The 26,531-nt window shown below is 44.1% G+C and overlaps 3 pseudogenes and 1 further gene, besides 4 other annotated features; 3 read left to right on the top strand and 1 right to left on the bottom strand.

Moving 5' to 3' along the window:
- The window catches only part of IGK (immunoglobulin kappa locus), a 1,378,008-nt gene that overhangs the window by 938,664 nt on the left and 412,813 nt on the right, over positions 1–26,531 (bottom strand).
- On the top strand, positions 1,248–1,481 carry IGKV2-36 (immunoglobulin kappa variable 2-36 (pseudogene); annotated as a pseudogene). Its single transcript is given in 1 exon segment — positions 1,248–1,481. A coding segment is annotated over 1 exon segment (234 nt).
- Positions 9,535–9,589: a sequence feature (IGKV1-35 leader sequence).
- Positions 9,535–10,009, top strand: IGKV1-35 (immunoglobulin kappa variable 1-35 (pseudogene); annotated as a pseudogene). Its single transcript is given in 2 exon segments — positions 9,535–9,589; positions 9,714–10,009. Coding segments are annotated over 2 exon segments (351 nt in total).
- Positions 9,714–9,724: a sequence feature (IGKV1-35 leader sequence).
- Positions 20,918–20,966: a sequence feature (IGKV3-34 leader sequence).
- On the top strand, positions 20,918–21,450 carry IGKV3-34 (immunoglobulin kappa variable 3-34 (pseudogene); annotated as a pseudogene). The gene is given in 2 exon segments: positions 20,918–20,966; positions 21,152–21,450. Coding segments are annotated over 2 exon segments (348 nt in total).
- Positions 21,152–21,162: a sequence feature (IGKV3-34 leader sequence).

Raw genomic sequence — 26,531 nt, 5'->3', positions numbered from 1 at the left:
AGCATGGTACTCAAAGATGCAAATAATTAGAAAACGATTCTCTGGATCTCCCCAAGAATCCAGAGAGCATCTGGTGCAGAAGCTATAATTGCCAATCATGTGGTCCTCAGACATGTCTGGGAAGCCCATGTTCGGGGCTGTTGATGCTCTGCCTGGAGGACCTTCCTGATTTTCTATGGCATCTGCTTACAATTGACCAGCCCCCTATTCAAAGCTTGCCGTGTTGCATCTCAACTCTTGTCCGTGGGACCCCAAGTCTCTAGCCACATCCAGTTCTTCACAGAAGCTGGATGTATGTGCCAGGGCAAGGAGAACTGGGTGGGAGGTGAGTCTGTGGGCTCCACAGCTTCACGTGTTTATGAGGTAGGAGTTATTAAGAAATTATTTTAGGCAGATAGAGAGGAAAAAAGGGATCCTTGGGAGACTTTTCACAGCTGTTGTCTAGCATAAAAGCCCTGGGTCTTAGCCCCGGGCAGGCAACCTTTTATATGCAAATGCAAGCCGTTAGAAACTGGGTCCATCCAACATGCACCCAACATGGTGATTTCCACCGTTGTCCTCTTGCCCTTGCCCCAACATGCGCCTGGCAGCATGGTTGCCCCTACATATCCCCACGTGTGTGGAACATCATGGCGCCCTGTATTTGCATATTAAAAGGCTAGGGTGGGAGGGCCAGTTCTTTCGAGGGCTACCGTGAATGACATGTCTGGTCAAACCAATACCCTGAGCCCTGTGCAAATCAGACACCGCCTCCTCCAGACATCAAATATAGCTGGCTGATATTACCTGAAAGAGTGGTTCGTCCCTCGGCTTTGGAGCCCCCCTCCCTCTGTCTTTGTACAGGGGAGCTTCATCCTTCTTTCTTCCCCCTTCTTTCTTGCCTATTAAACTCCCTGCTCCTTAAAACTATTCTAAGTGTGTCAGTGTCATTTTTTCTAATTTGACTCGAGACAAAGAACCTGGTGTCCTCTACTCATCAGAGCAGTATCATTTATTCCAACATGATAGAGTCACATGGTCTATGCCCAGGGAAAAGAATTCATATTTTTGTCTTATGAATAATCAAGGTTCACCTCCAGGGAACAATAAACAGTACTCTGATTAAGATCTTGAAAAAAAAAAAGAGTTCCCTTCTGGCTGGTAAATAATGGGTTTATTTTAGAAAGTCTACTTTCATGACATGAATCAAAACTTGAAAAATGTAACTATAAATCAATATCATAAAAGAAATCATGAAAGTTGTTCATAATGGAAAGCCAGCCTTTGTCTCCTGCAGGTCTAGTTAGAGCCTCCTGTATAATAATGGAAACACCTATTTGTATTGGTACCTGCAGAAGCCAGGCCAGTCTCCACAGCTCCTGATTTATGAGGTTTCCAACCAAGCCTCCGAATTCTCAGACAGGTTCAGGGGTAATGGGTCAGGTACTGAGTTTACACTGAAAGTCAGTAGGACGGAGACTAAGGATGTTGGAGTTTATTAGAAAACTTGAACTTCCATCAATGATAAATATTCCTTTTGCCTCAAGCACATATTTGAGGAATTTTCCATTGAGTAGATCTACCGATAAGGTCACATTTTTCTGTCTGTTTTAATCTGAATATGTATTTATATGATTCTCAGAAATGTTTTTTGACTATGAAATTATATTTGTGAGACCTTTTTTCAAGTTGTTGTTTACCATTTGATAATTACTGCTGAAACGTCATCTATTAAAAAAAATCGGTCATCCGTTCTCTAACTCTCATTGAAAGGAATTTGCCTTTTTAAACCCCTCAGACTCTTTTTAAGCTTTTCAATTGGCCTTATCTTTTTTTTACAGATTCAATGTATTAAGTCAATTTATTATTTATGATAAATTTATTTATTTATTTATTTTTACTATCACAAAATTTAAAAATCCTGTAAGTTGCTATGTCAAACCTGCCTCTAGATTGCAAACAAACCCCACAAAAAAGAGAGTACCATTATCTTAGAAATACTAGAAAAGCAAGAGTGATAGTGTCCCATTGTTAACAGGGACCCCATAAGGCTAGAATAATGTCCCACATGTTACCTGGGGCACCTGGGAGGAGCTGCCACTGTGCTGAATGGTGGGAAAAAGCCATCTGTGCTCTGAGACTGGAAGCCTGGCCCTATTCCCCTATGTGGATGTAGGAGATAATTGGGGTTATAAAGGGGTAATTACGGTTAAATGAAGTCATAAGGGTGGGGCTCTGATCCAATAGGATTAGTGTCCTTATAAGGACAGAAACCAGAGAACTCTTCTCTTTTCCTTTATTTCTCTAACTCACTGCTTCCCTATGGAAAGGCCATGAGAAGACATGGTGAGAAGGTGACTACCTGTAAACTAGGAAGAAGGTTCTAACCAGAAAGTGAACCTTGCTGGAACTTGATCTTGGACTTTCCAGGCTTGTGAACTATGAGAATAAATTTCTCTGGTTTAATCTACCCAGCCCAGGGTATTTTGGTGTAGCAGTGCAAGAAGGCCCATCCACTGTCCCCACCCTCTCTGAGCAGGATCAGCCTCAGGAGGCCCTCATGGACATGGGTGCCCAGCTTTGCCCCTCTTCCTCCTGCTTTTCTGACTCTCTGATGAGGAAGAAGAACTCAGACTTCGGCTTCAGATAGTTTGTATTAAACATGAACATTTCCTTGATAATGAAGTTATAGTTTGTTTATCTTTCTGTCACCTGCAGGGCCAGGTGATACAATTTCAACAAAAGTATATCAATTTCTATACAATTGTACATATTATTTTAATGTGAAATGTAGAAACATAGCGTATACATCTATCTCAATATATAATTAATATTCAAAATATTATATGTATTTAATAAAGTTTACATAATATGTATGCATATATTATTTGTTGAGCATGTGCTCTATTTCTTTGTCATCAGAACAGAATCTGGCTCAGCAAGAGCCCTGGGGACATTTGCTCACCCTCTCCCTTTGCTTCCAAGAAGGTCCTGACTGCTTATATACAATGAGAACAGAGCTGAGAGCAGCCTACTCCAGGAGCCCAGGCCCAGCTCTAAGGTCCTGGTTTCTGAGGCTTTCACCATGGCCCCAGGCTCGGGCTTGGTGCCGCGCCCATGAGTGTGTGAGCAGCTTTCTTTCTTGAATCCTTTGCCAGGCAGCCCCATGGACAGGGCCTGTGGTTCCTCCCAGGTCCTCAGCCTCATAGTTCAAGAAAGCAGCTGTTTCTTTCACAGCCCAGGGCCAGAGCCCAGCAGCTCTCGGTCAGTGCAGGCCTGACCTTAGCCCTGGTTTGAGGACTTTATTTCTAATCTCTTCTCTTTTATTCCAGTACCTGAAAGTCTGTCCTGATCTTAATTGCATAAGCCACATTTCCAAAACTGCTGAAGCTAACATTGCCATCTAGAATATTAAAAATTTGACTTCACTGTCATCCTCAGGGCCTGGCTTGTTCCAACTCCACCAGACCAAGAGGCTCTTGAGATCTCTCCTCCCCACACAACTTAATTTAGAAGCATAGTGAGGTTTAAATGTTGCCAAGCTCTTGACACTCTCTGAGCAGCCATCCCCCTTCTCCTTTGGTGTAGAGGGCACCAGCTCCTTTCTGCCATGCCTGGTGAGGACAGTGAACCTCTCTCAATTTAGGGCTGGAGTGAGGATTAAGAGCATGTGTGGTCACCTCCACCATGAGATGGTAGGGGAGTAGGTGGGCAGGGCTTCTGGGGAGAATTTGATTCCTCATAAATAGAAGGAAGGTGAAGAATTTTGCCCCACATTTTTTCCTGGAAGAGTTTTTAGTGGATATGACACTAATGTCCTTAGCTTAGAGCTGTTGCAGTCCTCTGGAGATCATGAGGACTTGAGTCCAAGACTGAAAATCCAATGTGGGGAAGGTGAACCTGGTTTCCTCATGCTGCCCCCAAGCTGCTGCACCAACCCTAATACTCCAACCTTCAGACTTCTGATCTTTGCTTAAGCTTTTGCTATTGTTTCTTTCCATTGCTTCTAAAGTTACTTTCATTTATTTTATTTCATTTATGAGAAAAGGTACTCAAGGGAAGAAACAGAGCCTTAAATTTGCTCTTTAGGAGAAGACAGGCATTTTTATGTGTGTGTGTGTTCATGGGAGTCTGAGGCGTGAAGGGCAGGAATTGTAAGTGCAGTGCTCCCCTGAGATCTTGGTCATTCTATGCCCATGGCTAGAAAAACTCAAATCACTTTGAAGAACTTATAAATTCTGCTGTCTTTCCCTCTCCATTCCTCTTTTTATATCCTAAGCATGAAATAAATGCCTGTTCTTAATTCCTCCCTGCTCCAAGATCATACATATATAATTGTGGTTAAGAAACAAAAATAGTTGGAGAAGACATAGAAACAGGGGATTTTATGCATTTCATTAACAACAAAGTGTGTTTGCAGGTTTCTCTTTCTTCTTAGCACTTTTTGCTGGGAATGTTACTGGTTAAAGATATTCTAGTTGCTAGTGGCAAATCCGTATGAGTCTGCAGCAACCTCAATCCTTGGCCTGCGGCAACCTCAATTCTTGCCTCCTCAGAAGAAAGAATGCGACTGAGGGGCATAAGGGAGAAAAAGAGACCAAGGTAAATTTCAGAGCAGAAGTGAAAGTTTATTGAAAAGCTTTAGAACAGGGGAGAAAGGAAAGTACACTTGAAAGAGACCAAAGTGGGCGACTTGAAGAAGAAGTCCGGTGTTTAACCTTGATTCTAGTACTTTATAGGCAGGTCTCTTTCCCATGATTCTTCTCTTAGGGTGGGCTGCCCGCATGCGCAGTGCCCTTCTTACCCTTGGGAGGTGAGCATGCTCAGTGTGTTCAGAAAGTTGTACACATGCCTATCTGAGGCTTCCTTCCCTTTTCTGGTGGTGTGCCCCTGGAAGGTCATACTTCACTGTTTTGTATTTATATTTATGTATAAATATAAATTTATGTATATATAAATTATATTTATACATAAATATAAATATGAATACATACATATAAATATACAAATATATAAATATACATAAAGTATAAATGTGAATACAAAATATAAATTTATTTATAAATATAAACATTTTATTTTTATTTTTGTATTTATATTTATTGTATTATTTATTTTAACATGCCTGGGAAGTTGCATTTCCCTGGTGCTTGCATTCAATTAACACCTTAGTGCAAAAGGTGTGGACCATCAGGAAATGGCCTCCCTCTAGTGCCAGCTGCCAACTTATCACTTTTAGAGAGGCAATGTGATCATTGCTGAACCATCACCCCACATTCCTAGTGGGTGGGGAAAGAGACCTCTCCTGCCCATCTCATGCCTGTCTAACTGCCCGTAACAGGAAGATGCTGACTGCTCCAGCCAGGTTCCTGTTAGAGGTTGCATTTGGAGGGTTTACAAAGAAAAGCTACTGGCAATTAGTGCCTGATTCCAGGGAGGGTGGCAGGACATTGGGTCTGGATTCTCAAAATGGAGGAGGCCAGAGTGAGAAAGGCTGTGGGTGTGAGAAGAAAGACCTTAGAACTCAGACCTGTGGCCACAGCCTTAGGACCCTGAGAGTGGGGACCACTTATCAAGGAACAAGGAGCAAAGAAGAAGTTGGGTAATATTTGAGGGATTATCTTGCAGGTGGAAGATAATGGAGGTTTGCATTGGGGTGGAGTGGTGGGGTAGAAGTCGGGGGAGTGGTCAGGTTTGGGACACATTTGGGGTCTATGATTATTGTCTGCACTTCGTTCATTACAAGGCACTTGGTGCAATGAGCAGTGCATGCAGCGCTTATAACTATTCTCGATTTTTTCATTATTATTTATTTATTTTTCATTATGATTTATTTTTATTGAGAATTTCTCTGATTGCTGGTGCTCAGGAAGAAGGTGTCTCCTTTCTTCTGAGGCTTTGTCTGAGTAAGCAAGATTTTTGCCTCTACTGCACGCTTTCTTTCCTGATTGTCCCTCTCTTCTGAAAGGCGATGGCCCAGGTGCTCCACTACTGAGAGTCTCAAGCTCTTACCCAAAGCCCTCAGTCTAGAGTTTTTGTTTTTTGCCGTCATGTTATCTTCTTCTTTATCAGCTTAGCAATTTAAAAAATTACTTTTTTTCTTCTGATTTGTAACTATTAAAAATTCTGTCTTAGTTAATCCTACCTATTACCTTCAGAGCAAGTAATGGACTAGCAAAATGGTATTAGGAGATCCAAATATGTGTGTTCAGGAAGAAATATGAGGAGGCAGGCTGTTCCAGAGTGCTCTGTGCAGCCGGCCCTGCAGAGTCCCTCTGTGTGGCCCTATCACTGACTGCCTTCTGTGAATCAGATATTCTGATGAAAGTCCTGGTGAATCCTGTAGCCAGGGGCCACCTACACCCTCCATGAAGACCAAATCCTGTAGTCAGGGGCCACCCACACCCTCCATGAGGGCCAAAAGCCTCTGAAGACAATAAGAGGTCGAGAGAGTCATAGCTCATGACTGTCCTCTGTAGAGACAGCTTCTTCCCAGATGGCTGAGGGCTGTCTGTGGCTATGTCCTTTCTTGTACATGATAGCGGGGACTGGGCAGATCTCTATGCAAACCCGAGCAAGACCTTCCTGTGTGTTCCTCTCTGAACTCTGAACCTAGGTGGCAGTGGATACACTTAGGGAAGTGGAATGATTTGTGATCATAAGAAAGGGAGGGAAGAAGGGGGAGAGAGTGAGCGAAAGACATAGAGAGAGAATGTAACGTGTGTACAGTACCGACACTGAAACTGGGTCCTGTAATGGTTTAGCACTGAGTATCACCCCCACATTATCAGGTTCTTTTCCATGGAGCCAATTAATGTAACTGGTATGGGAAAAAGACCTTTGCAGGTATAAATTAAGAATCTAGAAACAGGGAGATTATCCTGGATTGACCAAGTGGACCCTAAATGCAATCACAAGTATCCTCCTAAGAGTGAGATAGATTGAGATTTAACACAGACAGAAGAGAAGGCAATGTGGCCACAGAGACAAAGACTGGAGGGGTATGGCCACAGTCAAGGAAAGATGCAGCCATTAGGAGCTGGGGGAGACAAGAATAGACTCCCTCCTGGAGCCTCTGAAGGAGCCTGGCCGCCAAGGCCATGATCTTGGCCCAGAGATACTGATTCTAGATTTCTGGCCTACAAAAGTATGAGAGAGTAAACTGTTTTAAGCCATCAGATTTTTGGAACTGTGTTACAGCAGCCCAAGGACACTAATAAGAATGAAGTGCAGGGAAAGTGCAGATGAAACGTGCTCTGGTGGTTTTCAGTCTTCTTGTTCAACTTTCTACTGCTACACATAAATAGATTGATGGGAAAGGATATGGTGGGAAAACATTTACGTGAAACTTCACTGTATAGAGAGAGAGAGATCTATTAGTTAGAATAAATATTGATAATTTTTAGTTGAAAGTGACATCTGACTAGTAATATCTTACATAACGTCTTCATTCTAAGACAGTCAAGGATGCATGAAATGGACACCGGGTACTCTCTCTCTCTCTCTTTCTCTCTTCATGGGTCATGATCTGGTGAAGCCCTCAAGACACTGCTTGATATCCACAGTACTTCATTTTACAGGTAAGAAAACTGCCCATCAGAGTGCAGGGGTGATTTCCCAAAGTCACATGGTCAGCAGAAGTAGGGACTGAGATTGGAACCCAGGTCTGTCAGAACTTATATATGTTCCTTCCACATGGCCACATGTATGTATACACCTCCCCTGTCCTTACCGATTGAGGGCTGTCCTAGGGGATGCTATTCCAGACACTGTGGTCTGGCATGCATGCAGGCAGAGCTGCCTTCCCCAGCTCAGAAAGAGCAGCAGCATGACCATGGAGTCTGCCCATCTCAGAGAGAGCAGCAGCATGACCATGGAGTCTGCCCAGCTCAGAGACAGCAGCATGACCATGGAGTCAGCAGAAGTACAGTGAAGGGGAAAGGCCAAGGGTAGCAAGAGAGACGGCTACATTCAGAAAAAAAAGATGTGTATTTCAATCTAGAGCCCTATGTCTTGAACCTGGATATTAGTAGGCTGTTTACTGGCCAGTTCTCTTGAAATCCAAGCCCCCGGAAAAGCAGCAGAAGGTTTGTGCACAGACTGCACCACTGTGGTGGGACCATGCGTGATCATGAATGAGTAATACTGCCTGGAGTACCCGGGCTCCAGCCCACTGATGCTGATGTAGTTGGTTCCAATTCCCCTGCTGCTGAATCAGGTTGGGATGCCCTCAGCATAGGCAGAGGTATGAGGTACAGAGGTTCAAATTTGTTTCCAAGTTTTATCCATTTTCAGATATATCTCTGTATACATCAGCAATGACTTGGCCAGGGATGGAGACCCTGTGTCCTGGCTGTGAGACAGTGAGGCTGACATCTGGGTCAGGGTGATGTCCCCACTCACTGCAAAAGAGTAAAAGAAGCAAATGACATTGATGGTTCAAGGCAAGGACATGTACCGAGCAGCAGCCACCCCCACCAGAAGAGAGAGTTCACTGACTTTGTCTTTCCCCAGGTCCTCCCCTTCACCTGCCCTTCAGAAAGCCAGGCTTCGGGGGAGCTGCACCTGAGACACTAGGAACATGCTGGTAGGGAGCACAGCTTGGAGCATTACCCAGGGGATATGATCTTTGTCTTCCTACTTTGGACACATTTGATTATAAGAGTCTGGATTGATACAGGGTTTCAAGTTTATCCTAATCAAGGCTCCTATAGTTCAATGAAGAAACAGAGAATCTTGTTGAACTAATCAGATCTGGCATCACTAGCCAGCCCTTTATGCGATGATCTGTAAGAAATATTACACAGTGACAGAAAAGGTGGTAGAATATTCTCCCCAAGGCAAGAATAAGGTGCTATCCATTTAATCCTTGGGTATTAAAGTGACCGATAGCTCTGGAAAATGGAGGGTCTGTGCGTGGTACATGCATGAGAAATCATGGTATTATCTTTGTGAAACTGCAGTCAATTCCTTGTCCTTATACCAGTAACAACAATGGCTTAAAGTTATGACAAACTATTTTTGAATATTGTTAAAAATGCTTCTGATAAAGTCTTATTTTCATTTTAAAAAAGACAATTCCTCACTGACAGAAATATTGTTAACACAACACAAAATATTTTTACACTCACCAAATACATTTGCCAGTAACTTGAAGACCCAAGAGCTCTACTTTCTAAGATTTTATTATGCATTCCCTGCAAACAAGGATAGTCTCCTACATACTGCCAATACAACTATAAAATGCATTACTCAATGTAGTCCTTAGGTTCGTTTAAAATTTTGGAAATTGTCCCAAAAATACGTTTTGTAATAGTATGGCCACCAAAGAGAAATGTATTATCTGCAGGTAAGTTGATGCTACCCTGCTCTGATCTGGGACCCTGGGGACACTGCCCCTGTGCTGAGTTACTGAGATGAGCCAGCCTTGCAGCTGTGCCCAGCCTTCCCCATCCTCTGCTGATTTGCATGTCCCAGAGCACAGCTCCCTTCCTGAAGACTTATTAATTGGCTGGTCACACCCCGTGCAGGAGTCAGTTTTTGTCTGGACACAGCATGGACATGAAGACCCTCATTCAGCTCCCGGGACTTCTGCCATCCTGGTTTCCAGTTAAGAAAAGAAATTACTAGCCTCTTACTCAGCCAGTGTGCTAGGTACTGCCTGGCCATTCAGGGAAGTCTTCTTATAACATGATTAATTGTGTGGATATTTGTTTTTCTGTTTGCAATTTCAGGGACCAGAAGTGACATCCAGTCACCCAGTCTCCATCCACACTGTCTGCATCTGTAAGGAGACAGTGTCACCATCACTTGCCGGGCGAGTCAGAGCATTGGTAGTAATTTAGACTGGTATCAGCAGAAACCAGGGAAGGCCCCTAAGGGCCTGATCTATGCTGCATCCAGTTTGCAATCTGGGGCTCCTTCGCGGTTCGGTGGCAGTGGATCTGGGACAGATTTTACTCTCACCATCAGAATCCTGCAGCCTAAAGATGTTGCAACTTATTACTGTCAACAGTATAAAAATTACCCTATCACAGTGTTACAAACCATAACAAACCCCCCCCAGGAAAGCAGACATGTGACGCTGGGCTGCCCCACCTGCTCTTCTTTGTGCAGCCATCTGGTGACAACACTTCTCAGACTCAGCCTGAGTTTTGAGGGTTATTGGGAGATTACGGAAGAGGGGGCCATGAAGGTGTCTCTCCACCCTAAGTCTCTTTCCTCTCATGGCAATGTCTCTTCGAATTTAGTAAAGAAAGGAGATTAGTCTACCTGAGGAGTCTGTGTTATGGGGTAATTGAAATTCTTACAGTAAAATGGAAGCCACACATTCCAAGCAGGAATTGTTTTAACTGAGTGAATTAGAATCTAAACTATAGCCTTTGAAAGCCTGGCATATGTTATTCATGAAGCAGATACTAGAGATGGGGTTCTCTGATGCAAAAATATAAATATTTATTGATCTGTTTTTAAAGATACTAAGATAAAACTTAAAAATGTTGTCACTGTATCAAATATATTGCATCATATATCTATAAAAACAGTAAAATTTGTGTCATTTATGAAAAATGCACATATTTGAGTGTATATAACATACATATTAATCCATATATATTTATTTGATAACTTGTTAGCTATAAATACTAAGTACACATATTCATGTGTAGATAAGATTATTTAAATATGTTTATATATATATATATAAGCAACACATGCATACGTATGAAATTATTGTATAAATTAAATCTGTTAAGATAATTCCAGTTACTCCCATGAAAAAAACTGATGTCCAGGACTATATATGTTACCTGCTCTGGCTACAGGGATTTCCTTTGTAATCTTTATTTCTAACACTCACCAAATGGGTATGTGCACCTGAAAATATCTTTTAGTGGAGGGGTAAAGGATATGAAGAAAGGTAATTTTGCCTAATGTTAAAATTAGGCAAAATGTTAAAATTTCACAGTGATGCCTGCTGGGCAGAGTTCTAAATTGGGTGCTGGACCAAAGCCACACCCCTGCCATCGTCAAGGATGCCCTGGAAGACTAGAAATCACAATAGTGGGTTAACTACAAGGGTATATCATTGGCTACTTTGCAAAGAGAGGCTGGTAATGCAATGACATTGATTATTAATTTGCACAGGTCATTAGGTCTCAGAAGAAACAAAACTTAAGGACAAAATTGGTTTAGAAGAGCTGTGACTGGATCTTTCAAAATGGGCCAAGATCAAAAATAAATGCTACCCAAGTGAATACTCATCTAAATGCCATTGCCTAGCAGGGAACTCTTAATAATTAAGGTGATCCAACACATGGACTTCAGTCAGTCACCTTTCCCAGGGAGTCTCATGAACCTAAGCCATGGAGATTTATGCATCTGAATTTCATTTGATGAGGCTCACAAGGCTAATGGCACGTCTGAGTATCTGACTTGCCAAAAACCATGACCCTTCCTGAAACCCTAACATTGTACTACACATCTGAGATCAGACTAACAGCTGGTATCAGGTGAGTACATTGGACCTAACCCAACACATTGGGGCGGGGGTGGTTATTTTCCTATATGTACATTTGCCTTTCTTATCAGCCATGTTTCTGCTAGAATAATTACTTGAAAGTTTTTCAAGTGCTTTCAAGTCAAGAAACCCTTACATAATTTATCATTGGAAAAAGTAACTTTATTATAGCAAAAAAAAGTAAGGCAAAGTAGGTTCATGATGCTGTCATGTGTACAGAGGCAGCTATCCCTACAGACAGGAGAAACCCCATTACTAGGCAGGTGAAGTGAGCACACAAACCCTTGTAATGTCAAATCACTGTCTTGCCAGATGTGGCGGAGGCCCCAAAACACCAAGGTGTATGGTATTGTTACTCCCATCAAGAGAATAGTGGTATCTGAGACATGGGGGGTGAGCCCATCACTATTTATTATGCCTACAGAGCAGATTGAAAAGTTCTCTTTCTGTTCACTCAGGTCCGGGGTTTTCTGGTTGACAGTTCTTGATCCAATGGGTTAGCATGATAAATCATTAATAAATTGGAAGAAACAATGAACATGCGGCCATTTAGTTCTCATTATGATGTAAGATAAACTGTCAATAAAGGGTCTCATGGTGTGGGCTGGAGTCATAGGTATAGGTTTCCTTCTACATATTTTAGAGAGGAAGTAGAGAATATGTGGAACCCAGAGGAAATTCAGGATTTTTTTTTTTTTTTTTTTTAGACAGAGTTTCACATTTGTTGTCCAGACTGGAGTGCAATGGCACGATCTCAGCTCACTGAAACCTCCACCTCCCGGGTTCAAGCAATTCTCCTGCCTCAGCCTCCTGAGTAGCTGGGATTAGGGTTACAGGCACCTGCCACCACGTCTGGCTAATTTTTTTTTTTTGTATTTTTAGTAGAGACAGGGTTTTACCATGTTGCCCGGGCTGGCCTCAAACTCCTGACCTCAGGTGATCCACCTGGCTTGGCTTCCCAAAGTGCTGGGATTACAGGCATGAGCCATTGTGCCCAGCTGGGAATGTTTCCATTTACCACCATTTCCACTGGTAAAAGTGAAGAGAAACTTCTACAGACTCCAGAGTGAAGCTTTAAGTAACACAGCTGAAGCATCACATGTACTTAGACACTAGTGCAGCAGAGGGGAGATGAAACGCACAGTGAACTTAGGAGATGTGAACACCAGCTACAGCCTCTAGGTCAGCTTCATAGTAGAGAAGTACAGGAGCCAGTCCACTCATTCCTTCTTCCTTCTTCTGTCATCGAAGCAGTCAGATACAAGAGAAGCCATTATGGCTGGTGAAGCAAACTCGCGTTTATTGTCATGGATTAGGTGAACTAAGCCAGATGGAAAGAGCAGAGGAGTGGGCTCAGGCATTCATTTCACTTCCCTGTTTCTTCCTGCGTTTCTATGCAGAAAAATCCTCTGATTGTGACAGGAAACTTGTGAGGCAGGATGCTGTGCCCACAGGACAGTGCTGCCTGGCCAGGACCCAGACCAGGAGAATGAGCCCCTCTGGAAGGCATCTCCCCTTCCCTTATTAACTTCTGAAAACCACTCTGCAGGGGCATATCTCATGTGCAGAGCCTTAATCACATCTGGGACCCTGAATGCCAGAGACATGAAGGTTAGCCTCACCAGAAACGACCATAAAGATCGTGCTGGAGGCCAGGGGATAAAAAGAATACAGAGAAAACCAACTCATGAAATCTGAATGAGTCACGCACACATTTACATATGTTAAATATTTTTTTCTCAACTGTCCCTTTATTAAAATTCTTTTAATACAAAGTGCTGTTTTGGTCACCTATATAATTCATACCACAGATTAAATGATATCCAGATTGACTTGTGACTCATGAGGGAAGGTCAGTTTTTCCTAGATGGTGTTGGACTGAACAGATTTGAGTTTTTTCACCTTTTGGGTAGAGGTGAGCATGCTGCTATATGCAAAGGGAATGTCTGCATTCTGTTAGGTGTTATCACATTGCTGTTGATATCATGAATACCAGAGGGTTCAAGTGTAAGAAGATATGTACTCATGACAGAAAGCCACAGGGTGGATGGGAGCAGAAATAGCACCTGGAGTCATGTAAACAGAGGGGTCTGCATGAGACTGAAATGGGGATGCAACCAGCACAGGGAGGGCTGCACTCAGGTGGGCAGGTGGCACCACCAACCTTAGCACACAGCTTTCCTCCTTCTTCCATAGCCACTGCTCCCCCATGTCCCTATTGCAGATCTCTCCCTCATTTATTCCAGTACTTGGAAGTATGTCCCGGCCTTAAATTCCCAGGCTACATTTCCTCAACTGCTGAAGCTAACATTGTCATGTGGAAAATTAGAAATTTGACTTCATTGTCATCCTCAAGGCCTGGCTTGTTCCAACCCCACCAGATTCAGAGAATGTTGGGATCTTTCTGCTTCATCCAGGTTGGCTTAGACACAAGGTGAAATTTAAATGTGTCGAGGCTTTGGCCTCCTGCCTAGCAGCCATCTTCCTCCTTTGGTTTCTTGGGCACCAACTCTGTCCTGCTGTGCATGGGGAGGACAGAAAGTTTCTCTCAGCCCAGGACAGGAACAGAAATTAGGGGGACATGAGTTTGGTTCCACAATAAGATGTCAGGGAGTGAGGGATGAGCAGAGATTCTGGGAAGAATTTTCATCCCTTATAAAAAGAAGAAGGTGGGGCCGGGCGCGGTGACTTATGCTTGTAATCCCAGCACTTTGGGAGGCTGAGGCGGGTGGATCACGAGGTCAGGAGATCGAGACCATCCTGGCTAACACGGTGAAACCCCGTCTCTACTTAAAATACAAAAAATTAGCCGGGCGAGGTGGCGGGCGCCTGTAGTCCCAGCTACTCAGGAGGCTGAGGCAGGAGAATGGCGTGAACTCGGGAGGCGGAGCTTGCAGTGAGCCGAGATTGTGCCACTGCACTCCAGCCTGGGCGACAGAGTGAGACTCCATCTCAAAAAAAAAAAAAAAGAAGAAGGTGGTGAAGAATTTTGGCCTGCATTCTTTCCAGTAATCATGATGAGAGGAACTGATTCTTAGAGCCGCTGCAGCCATCTTAAGACCATGAGGCAGTGAGCCTACGTCTGCAAAGCCAATGTGGTGGGGTGCAAAGTAGAAATAGAGAAAGAACCTGGGGCCTTTCTGCTGTTGCCAAGATGCTTCACCAACTCGAAAAGCTCCAACCTTTGGACCTCTTTGCTTAAGCCATTGCTATCATTTGTTTCCACTACTTCCAAAATTATTTTCATTTAGACAGAAAAGATACTCAGTGAAAGACCACGGCTGGGCCTTAGACCTGCTCTTTAGAAGAAGACAGGCATTATCATATGTGTGCATTTGTGGGAGTCTGAAGCATGAAGGGCAGGAACCAAAATAAGTGATATCCTCTCCTGGCATCTTGGTCCTGCTGTGTCCCTGGCTAGAGAAACCCAAACCGCTTCGAAGAGTTTATAAATTCCATTCTCCTGCTGTCGTCATTTCTATTTTCATATTCTAAATATAAAAGAACCCTTCTTATCTTCAATTCTTCCCTCTGCAAGATTGTGAAAATAGAACCATGGTTAAGAAACAGACAAAAAAGTTTGAAAACACATAAAATCTAAGGATTACATGCATCTCCTCCACACCACCGTGGTGTTTGCAGGTTTCCCCTCCTTCTCAGTGTTTTTTGATGGGAGGATGCTGACTGCTCCAGCCATGTTGCCGGCAGAGGTTGCATTTGGAGGGTTTACAAATAAAAGCTTCCAGACAGTTACTGTTGGATGCTGGGGAAGGTAGCAGGAGGGTTGGGTCTAGATTCCCAGCATGGAGGAGGCCAGGGTGATTCCTGGGAAAGGCTGTTGGTGTGGAAAGAAAAGACTTAGAACTCAGACCTGTGGCCTCCACCTTAAGATCCAAGCATGGGAACCATTTATCAAAGAGCCAAGAAACCTGAGTTGATTCTTAGATAGGAAGCCCCATCTCATCAGTGGCCACCACCATCTGTCATTCAAGTTGAGATTCACCTTCAGTGATGGCTCCACATAACCCTCAAAGCAATGGCTGTCAGGCCCTGAACCAGTCTACATGAAGCAAGCTTCATCACAAGAAGTATGAGGGTAGCCTCAAAAGTGAGACACCAGAGTCCATGGCCTGAAGGAAAAAACAGTAATTACTGAAGTTTATACCAATTTTACTAACATCCTTCCTAATGTCAAGGATTCCCCAACTTCCTGACAGTCAGTCTCCTCTGCATGTTGAACTAATGCCTTGTCTGATTCTAGGCTGACCATGAACTTAAGTATCACAAGAGATGTGCTTCTTCTTGCCTTTCCCTCCAGGTAGAGGCATCATTTTCCTTCTGGTCATTGTCAAAAGAGGAAAGTTTTCCACTAAATATTGCTCATTTCCATACAAGCGTACTGGCCCCAGTCTTAGGTCAAAACCCAGCAACTGCATAGGTCTAGTGAGTCCTTCCCTCGGTGCCTCTTTTTAGTGTGCACCTGCCTTATGCCTTTCCCTGAACCTAAGTCTCTATAAAGTCTGATGCCTCAAGCGCTACCCAGGCTCTGAGCACTCCTCACCAGCATGTTCCTGGTGGCTCAGAAGCAGCTCCCCTGGGGCCTGGCTTTTTGGAGAGCAGTTGAGGGGGAGTACCTGGGGAAAGGCTAAGTGAGTGAACCCTCTCTCCTCAGTGAGGGCAGCTAAAACTGGGTGCATATTCCTGCTGTTCACCATCAATGCCACTTTCTTCTTTTACTCTTTGCAGTGAGTGGGGAAATCATCCCAACACAGGAGACTGCTTGCTTGTCAGTACATTCAGGAAAGAGAGTTTTTGTCTCCTGCTAAGCCAGCAACAATGTACATGGAGAAATATCTTGAATCAGTAAAAAACTTGGACAAAGACTTGAACCCCTTACATCTCATGTCACTACCTTGGTCCTAGGCATCCCAGCCCAGTATAGTGGCAGCAGAACTGGAACCAGCTATGCCTTCACTATCAATGCCCTGGAGCCTGGGGACTACGGGGAGTATAACTGCATGCTTGACTATGGGTAGCCAAGCAATGGTGGTGCAGTGTGGGCACAGAATCCCTGCTGCCTGTCATGCAGCCTGAATTTCTAGGGCACATTCTTGCATTCCAGAGAGATGTGGCCCACATGGACCCTCCAGATTTCACATACACATCTTTTTTGAGTGGATGTAGCAGTAGTTGTCCTAATTCTTTTCTGCATTTCTGCTGACTTCTCATGGTGATATCTGCCCCTCGCTGCTCTCCCTGAAACTACAGAAGGCACCTCTGACTTCATGCATGGTAGACCTCAGAGCCTGGAATGAGCATCCCCTAGGACAGCCCTCAATCTGTGGTGACTAAAGGAGGTGTATACATACCACAGCTCCCTCATCTCTCAGGTAGAATAGCCCAGAGGTTCTTGTGTTTTTACATTGGCATGAGCTTTAGTGGTCCTCATGGTCCTCATGAGCAGCTGCTTATTGATGAGCTTTTCACTGGCCATGTCTTCCCTGCCTCACTTTCCCCCTTCTCTCCCAGGGTTTTCTGTGCTTTGTAAATATGTTGTCAGCATGGGAATTCTTGTCATTGTAAGACCCACCTTAAGACAATAGGCAAATTCTCATGTGTAGAGGTATCTTTATCTAAATTCTAGGGATTTCTTTTTTTATGGGTAGAAAAATTCAGAAAGTTAGGGAAACATTTAATTTTCCTTTACCAATCTCTCTTAGATTGCAATTAAGTAGCAATTCTTTTCTTCTGGGTCCCAAAATCAGAATAGTCTCTAACAAATAGCTACACATGTGAGGTCCACATTGGAGCAGCAGCAGCAGCAGCAGCAGAATCCTCCAGCCCAGGGAAACCCCAGACCAGAGGACCCTGACTCAGATCTCTCCAGCTCTCTTGCTTTATAAAGATGTTGGTTGCCCACATTCTATCCTTCTTCCAGCTATGTGATTTTGGATTCTTGTTTAGAGAAGGACAGTTTGGGGCCAATAAGAATGATTGGTAGTGTGAGTAAAGCACTCCCCATCTCTTCTCAAAAAAAAAAAAAAAAAAAAAAAAAAAAAAAGATGTTTGTGCCTAATCTGTGGAACCTATGAATGTTGCCTTATATGGCAAAAGAAACTTGGCAGATGTGATTAAGCTAAAGATCTTGAGATGAGAAGATTATCTAGATGGGTCACATGTAATCACCAGTGTCCTTACAAAACTGAGGCAGGAGGATCAGATTTGGGGAGGAGATTTGGCAAGGAAGAAAGACGCTGAGTGATGTAAGAGAAAGGCCAGGGGCCTGGAAAGACAGCAGCTTCTAAAAGCTGGAAAAGGCCAGAGAAAAAGTTCTTTCCCCCAGCATCCATAGGGAAGCTTACTTTTAGCCCAGTGAGAGCTTCATTTATCCCAGTGAGACCTGTGTGAGATTTCTCCCTTCCAGAACTGTAAAAGAATAAACTGATGCTGTTTGAAGCCAGCAAGGATGTGGAGATTTGATAGAGGAGCTACAGGAAACACACACAGGGAGAGAATGGCATTTGCCTCTCTGTTCTTGCCTCTTTCAGCTTCTGGTGGCTGCAGCTTTCCTTGGCTGCGGTCACATCACTCCCGTCTCTTTCTCTGTGGTCACACTGCCTTCTCTTCTGTCTGTGTTAAACTTCTCACATCCTCTCTTACAAGGACATTTGTGATTGCATTTAGAGCCATTATGGTTAATCCAGATAGTCTCCCCATCTTAATATTATTAATTGACATCTGTGAAGTCTTTTTGCTCAATTTAGGTAACACTCACAGGTATCAAGGAACTAACTTATTAAAGTATCCAATCTTTCTGTGCATACATACACAATTTATCTCTCTCTTTCTCCCCATTCTCTCTCCTTTCCTCATGATCAAAAATCACTTCCTTAAGTAAATCCAGTTCCACCTATGGCCAGGTCAGAGCAGCACACAGGGGAAGGCCTTGCTCAGGGTTTGCTTAGAGACCTGCTCTGCCCCCATTATCATGCGGAAGGAAGGACACAGCCACAGACAGCCCTCAACCATCTGGGAGAATCTGTCTCTACAGAGGAAAGTCATGGGCTAAGACCCTCCAGACCTGTGATTGTCTTCAGGGGCCTGTGGTCCTCAGCCCTCCCTCTGGATGTCTGATTGTCCTCGGGGATCTGTGGTCCTCAGCCCTCATGGAGGGTTTGTCTGGCCCCCGGTGGTCCACCTTGGCCTCTCATTTTACTCTTTGCACTCACCAAGGAAGTATATTTGCTGTGGGCTGAGTGAGGTGACAAAATAGGCCAAAGTATACAAATAGCTGTATTTTATAATTTTGTTTGTATTTTTCTCAATTAAATTTATGGGATATTTTGAAATGTTTTGCAAGGTGTCATATGAAAATCATTTTTTAGTCATATCTTGACTCAGTAGGTGGGATAAACCCTAATTCAGGGTTAATCTCTAACTGTCTTCACAATTTGGGACAAAAAAATCAAGTGTTGGCTCATCTGCCCCTCCCCTGGCCTCAGCTCCCACCCACTTCTTCCATCTGTCTTTTTTTTTTTTTTAATTATACTTTAAGTTCTAGGGTACATGTGCACAACGGGCAGGTTTGTTACATTTGTATACATGCGCCATGTTGTGTGCTGCACCCGTTAACTCGTCATTTACATTAGGTATATCTCCTAATGCTATCCCTCCTCCCTCCCCCGCCCCCACGACAGACCCCAGTGTGTGATGTTCCCCACCCTGTGTCCAAGTGTTCTCATTGTTCTATTCCCACCTATGAATGAGAACATGTGGTCTTTAGTTTTCTGTCCTTGTGATAGTTTGCTCAGAATGGTGGTTTCCAGCTTCATCCATGTCGCTACAAAGGACATAAACTCATCCTTTTTTATGACTGCATAGTATTCCATGGTGTATATGTGCCACATTTTCTTAATCCAGTCTATCATTGATGGACATTTGGGTTGGGTCCAAGTCTTTGCTATTGTGAATAGTGCCACAATAAACATATGTGTGCATGTGTCTTTATAGCAGCATGATTTATAATCCTTTGGGTATATGCCCAGTAATGGGATGGCTGGGTCAAATGGTATTTCTAGTTCTAGATCCTTGAGGAATTGCCACACTGTCTTCCACAATGGTTGAACTAAGTAGTGGATTAAGCAGCTTGTTTTATTGACAACGTTCTCTTTTCTTTTATTCCTGTTTCATCCTCAGCCTTCAGAAAATAAAATAAAAATCATAATTCTCAGAGCTTTGTTTTTGTACTTTGTCTCGAGTTATAATTTGGTAGTATTTCCCAAGAGCATATAATAATTATTGTATTCTAATTTATCAAATTTTGTATAGAATATGATATATAATAACACATATTAATCACAACTATAGTAAATTTATTGACTCTTTAGTTAAAAGACAGTATTATCAGATTATCTCAGGAGTCAGATAATAAATATTTAGGTTTGGTGAGGCAAGATGCAAAATTGAATATATTATGTGAGTACTTAGAGAAGAGAGAAAACAAATTTCTGCAATGTCTATTAATGAACTCAGATGGAATGTAACCCAAAGAGCTTCTCAGCCTGTCCAGTGAACTGTCACTTACCACCAAATGCTCACAATTTTAAGGAACACAAGGAAACCCCAAATTGAATTATTGTTTAGATCAGAAACATGAGCAGAGGTTTCCAAAATTATTAAAGTGAGAAAGGCCTGAGTCTGATTGAATGGATGTGTTGTGCAGGATGGGGTGGCATAGAAAGTAGGGCATCACCCAAGGAATTGTTCCTGGCCTGCTGGACAGCATTGTCGTCTGTTTGCAGGGAATGGAATTACACACACTGAAGGGTCTGAGCCCGGGGCCTGCTCATCTGTGCAGCCGTGATGATCATCACACCCACAGTGCTGGGCCTAATTGCGTGTTGCCCTTTAATAGTTTTTACAAAGAATGAGGAGGCTTCAGGGCTCATAGGAAAGATGGCTAAGCTGCAAAGGAAAAGTGTGTGTGGAAGATGAACTTCTGATGAACTAGTTTTCAGCCAGGTACATTCATGCACCAATGGAGATGACTCGGTTCTTTGGAGAAATAAGGAGAGGAAAAGAACCACAGGCTTCTATTTTATTCCCAACAGGTTTGTACTAAATACCATCTGGCTGGGTCTAGGTGACTAGTGAGACGGGAAGAAACAGGGGCTATAGTCTGTGACCACAGGGAAGAAGTTCTACCATCAGGCTGAGCCAATGGACTTTTCTGGCCTGACCACCTGGGCAGGGGCTGCTGAGTGCAGAGAGGAGGAGGCAGGGGGTCTCTGCAGCTGGAAGCCCAGCACCCACTCCAACTACTTTGCATATCCTTCCAGCCACTCTGCTGTCCAGAGCCCATATCAATGCCTGGGTCAGAGCTCTCGGGAAGAGCTGCTCGGTTAGGACCCAGAGGGAACCATGGAAGTTCCAGCTCAGCTCCTCTCCTTTCTGGTACTCTGGCTCCCAGGTGAGGGGAACACGGGATGATTCTGCATGCCAATGAAACTCTGTCAATGTTATTGGGTCCTGTGACCTGCTCAGCAAGAACAATAATTAATATTCAATGTACATCAATGATCCCAGCTGTACTGGGAAGACAGTGGATTTGATCTAGATTGCACAATTGACTTTCCTGTTTTATTCCAATCTCAGATACCACTGGAGAAGTTGTGCTGACATGGTCCCCAATCACCCTGTGTTTGTCCCCAGGGGAAGGAGCCACCCTCACCTGAAAGGCCAGTCAGATCATTGACAACTATTCAGCCTGGGACCAGTAGAAACCTGTTCTGGTTCCCAGGCTCCTTATTTATAGGGCATCTACCAAGGCTACCAGCATCCCAGCCCGGTTCAGTGGTGGTGGGCCTGAGGCAGACTTTACCCCAACCATCAACAGCCTAGACCCTGAAGATGTCACAATTTTATTACCCTCATCAGTACAGCAGTGGGTGTCCCACAGTAATTCAACATGAAACAAAAACTTTCACAAAACCATTGATTTTTTTTTTCTAAAACCAGCAGCTTTATGGGCTGCAGCTATGATGGCTGCTCAGTTTTAGCAACTGTGCCTCTATTTGGAAATTTTGAAATTCTGAAAAGTAACTCGTTGTCAAGATGGTGACTCCAATGTCTGTATTTTTCTCAGACTTATTTACAGAGTTAGGTTTTGAATCAATTTTACTGCAAGGCCTTCAGACAGACTCACCTGCATGGATGCCTTTAAAGACACAGGTGCCGCTGGGCACAGTGGCTCACTCTTTTTTTTTCCAATAGAGTAGAACAAACATAGCTTTTCATTTAATAAATTTTCACTTAATGGCAGCATTTTCACGAACAAGTAAAGGCCACCGAGTGAAGGTTAGGTGCACGTGAGTAAATAAGACAATTTTGGGTCCCAATTCAGTAGGGGAAAGAGCCATGAAGGAAGAATAACCACACAATAAAAGTGCGTAGAATAATTTCTGTAGTTGACAAATTGTGTAAAAAGCAGGAATGGTCTGTGGTATCTGGAGGCTGAGGCCATATATTTGTGCTGATCAGGGAAGGCCCCAGGGTCATACTGAAGATTCATCTGAGTGGTGAGGAGGCAGCCAGGTGACCACAAAAACAGCAAAGACCACGGGATCATTATGGGAAGGGCAGGGACCAGTGTGTACTGAAAAAGTCAGCAAGTGCTAAACTAATCAGATGCCTTCTCTGATTTTTATTCCCGTAAAGATAAAACTTACTGTAATATCTTACATCATACACCTTGGTCTGGGTCACTCCCATGGCATAGAATGTTCCCTGGTTCAGAAGTTGGAAGCCCAGGTCTTTCCTTTGTTGACAGTTTGCAGGCTCCCCAGAGCCCTTCCCTGCCACTCAAGCCCTTATCACTGGGTCAGTCTCTGTCTTTGAGTTGGGATCACCATAGGCAGGGGCAGCACTAGACACTGGACATGGGGCTCTGGCCCTCTGGGTTCTAGTTCCCTGGTTTCAGCTAAGGGGGCTCCACATGACAGAGTTCATATGTCCCATAGGACAATGGCTCAGATTGAGGCCATTGTTCAGGGAGCCCAGCATTCACCTCCCACTTGATCAGCCAGCAGGACTCTGCTGGGAAGCCTATGGAGAGGGACATCATTAACTGGGGAAGATCTGTGTTTTGTTTCCACCTCAGATTCTACAGGCAACTATGTGGGCCCCAGTCTCCAGCTTCCCAATCAGTGTCTCCAAGAGGGACAGTTTCCATCACCAGCCTGGAAGCATCCAGGGAAGGTTCCTGAGATCCACCCATGTGCTCTGTCTACCTTGGCCATGGTCCACCCCAGCTTGGTACAGTGGTCCTGGGACACACCTTTGCTTAACAGTTAGAAGCTTGGGTGTCCCAGTGACATTACTGGTTATTACTGTCTACAACTGTGCTGTTCCACGTGGGAAACACTAGCAGTGATAGCCACAGATGTGTCAATTAGAAATACTTAAAATTAGAAAAGTAGCTTCACAGTTACATCAGGTACATTTCATGTACTCAGCAGCCACATATGACTGATGACTAGCCTATTGCACTTCATACATACAGACATTTTCATCATCTTAGAAAATGACTTTGCTTAGCACAGATGTAAATGATAACATCTGATTACTCGCAGTGCTATAGCTGAGAACACAAACCTCAGCAGTTGTTCTTTTAGAAGATCAGGTGTCCCCGGATGCTTCCTCAGCTCGGAAAGCTACTGTGGTTCTCAGAGCTGCTCTGGAAGTGTTTCTGGGATGGGAGGAATGAGGCTGGGTTGACAGATCCAAACCAGGGGCCGTCAGCTTCTCACCCCAGTCCCTGCCATTATGCCCTACAGGGTCCTTTACAGCCCTCTCTTTTTTCCAAAACCACATCTTTGGCATGTCACATGGATCCCAGAATCTAGCCACCCTAATTGTTTTGTGACAAATATTTTTCCTGCATACCGTTTGTCCTCAACTAGATGACTGGTTTATTGAGGGGAGGGGCCATTTCGTGTTTTCTACAAAATCTGTCCTAGTGATGGATGTCATAAGATCAACTCCATGAATACCCATGAAAAGATTTCATCCATAGTCAACGCTCACTGGACCCTAGTATCTAACATCCTGTAAGATGCTATGTTAGAAACTGGCCAATAGATGGCAGACAAACACCGTAATAAACAAAAGATAGACGTCTGATCTTAGAAGTAATGAGGAAGTAAAAGTGATCATGTCCCCTTATGGACAGGGAGGCCCTAAGGCGGGACTGGGGTCTCCTGTCTGACATGGTTCGCCTGGGAGGAGCTGCCAGTGTGCTTAGTGATGGGAAAATCCCCTGTGCTCTGAGACCGGAAGCCTCATCTTGCCCCTCCCTACTGCCTTGGCTGTGTCCCCAAAGCCCTCTTCTTACGGAAGGAACTATGTTTCACAAATTCCTATTTGGAATCTCTTACCTCCAATATGGCTGCAGATGGAGAGAGAGCCTGCTAGGAGGTAACTAGGGTTAAAGAGGTGATCAGGGCAGGATCCTGACACCACGGGATTACTGTCCTTATAAAGAGAGACACTATAGAGCTTTCTCCCTCCCCCACCCTCCCTGCGTGCCCTGAGGGATGGTCATGTGGGGACATGGCCAAAAGGTAACATCTGCAAATTAAAAAGAGAGTCCTCACCAGCAAGAAAACCTTTCTGGACTTTGAGCTTTGCCTTTCCAGGCTCCTAAACTGTTAGAAATAACATTTCTGTGGTTTAAGCCATCCAGTCACATCCATTTTGGTGTCACAATCCCTGCAAACACTCCACCCTACCTACCCTCTCTGAGTAGGATCAGTATCAGGAAGCCCTCGTGGACATGGGGCCCGCCTTTGCTCCTCTTCCTGCTGCTGTTCTGACTCTGATGAGGAGGGAGGACTGCGGCTTCATCCTCAGTTCGTTTGCATTAAGCAGAAAGATTTACTTGTTTTCAGCCTGTTTTGCTTTCTGATTGAAACTTAATCAAACTGAATGAACTACTTCTTTGGTATTAATATTTGGGAATGTTCATGTTTGTTTCCCACTTAGATGCCAGTGGCAACATCGTGTGGACCCTGTATCCAGCCCCTATCCCGGCGTCCCAAGTGAGAGGGTCACTTTCACCAGCAGGGCTGACCAGAGTATGAACAGCATCCTAGCTCAGTTCCAACGGAACCCAGGCCTGGCTCTGAGCTCCTGCTATCCCCTGGACACCATGCCTGCCCTGGTTAAGGGCCATGGGCTTGGACAGATGTCATTCTGACTATCAGCATCCAAGCTGCCTTCAGGGGCACATGCCCCCACCTCCCGTCATTACTGGTGCACAAACCTCGCCCCAGTTCCTGCTCTGCCTGGAGTGCTGCTGAAGATCTGGGGCCTTCTCAGTGGAGCAGAATGGGAGGCAGCTCTGAAATCTTAAACCCCCTTCTCCTCCCACTAGCTTCCCACCTTCCGTATGGGCACCTCCTGAGCATCTGATGAGCATCACAGAGTAGAGAATGTCAATGTGTTTTCTCCCACATCCTGCTCTGAATTTATGAGGCCAATTTATCCTCACCTCACACATGAGCTGCCCTTGTCTTCAGGGATGTGATCCTTGTTTCTCTCACATCCTGTCACAGTGTTGACAACCTAGTTTTGACTTCACTCCATGAATCCTTTTGGAAATATTATGGTCAACAAGTTGTCGTCCTTGAATAACACACAATAAAAATAACAAATATTCAGAAGGTTTTGCAAGGGGGAGAAATGTTTCATTGTGAACAGAGTTCCAGCAGCTGTGTGTGCCATAGAAGCTGGGCAGAGAGATCCCATATGGCTCCAGTTAGAGGGGAGGCTGCCAACGAGCCATGGAGGGCTTTTGTCTTGTGACCACACCTGTAAGCCTTTCTTATAAGCCACATGTAGCCTAATTCTATGAGCCACATGTGCTGCTCTGTCCTACAGGGACCCCCAGGGGACAAAATGCCCATGCTGAGCTCTGGGCACAAAACATCCTTCTACCAGGAGCCGAGGCCCACTCCCTGCCTCCTCGGCACCTGCTGCTTTGTGTTCCCCAGACCCTTAGCAATCTTAGCAATCCTCAGCAATCCTCAGCATCCTTAGCAATCTATGAGTCAGGGCTTGACCCAGAAAGGAAATGAAGTGAGTCCTGAGCCTCTGACCCTTGGGCTCTGTAGTGGGAAAGTGGCCATGGGGTGGGGCACTATTGCTGGATTTTCTTGTTCATGCTCAATTTACCAAAGTTTAAAACCATGCCTTATAACAACAATTCATATTATATTTATTTACATGAAAAGTGCATATTATATGTGTTATATATGTATAAGATATACACATATATTAATACAAATTACATCTGAAATAGCATAGAAATATATTTAATTTGTAAAGTGTGTTACAATTACATATATGCATATACAAATAACTTATGTTTATTTATTTAGCATGTGCTTCTTTTTCTTCTAACTATAACAGAGTCTGGCTGAGTAAAGACTCTGGAGACATTTGATGACCCTCCCTCTTTGGCACTAGTAGGGTCCTGGCCACTCAGGACCAGTGAGGACAGAACTGAGGAAAGTCGACCTAGGATCCCAGGCCCTGCGCTACGGCTTTGGTCTCTCAGACTTTTACCCTGGCTGAAGGGTTCCTGAAGGATTTGTTCCACATTGAACTGGGCTGACCAGCAAGAAGGAACTATGTGCATGCAGCCTATTTACACTGGGAAGGAAGAAGGAAAGTGTAGCAGGAAATAGAAGATGGGTGGCAAAAGTCTCCCCTAAAAGCCACCTAACTCTTAGGATGACTGAAGCTTCATCCCATGTGGAAACATGGGGACAATGCCTCTGGGCTATTCCATCTGAGGGGAGAGAGCTGGGGTATGTTATCATACTCCTGTTATCATCTACTGATAGTGTCTCTCTTAGTCTGTTGTGTCTTGGTATAACAGAATGCCTGAAATTGTAATTGATAAAGAGCAGACAATTATTCTCTCACACTTCTGGAGGATGGGAAGTCTAAGATCAAGGAACTGTCAGATTAG

The sequence above is a fragment of the Homo sapiens genome, chromosome 2, assembly GCF_000001405.40.
Source record: "Homo sapiens chromosome 2, GRCh38.p14 Primary Assembly".
In the NCBI taxonomy this organism is placed as follows: domain Eukaryota; kingdom Metazoa; phylum Chordata; class Mammalia; order Primates; family Hominidae; genus Homo; species Homo sapiens.
Note: the sequence above shows the minus strand (reverse complement) of the source record. Positions and strands in the feature narration are given on the sequence as shown.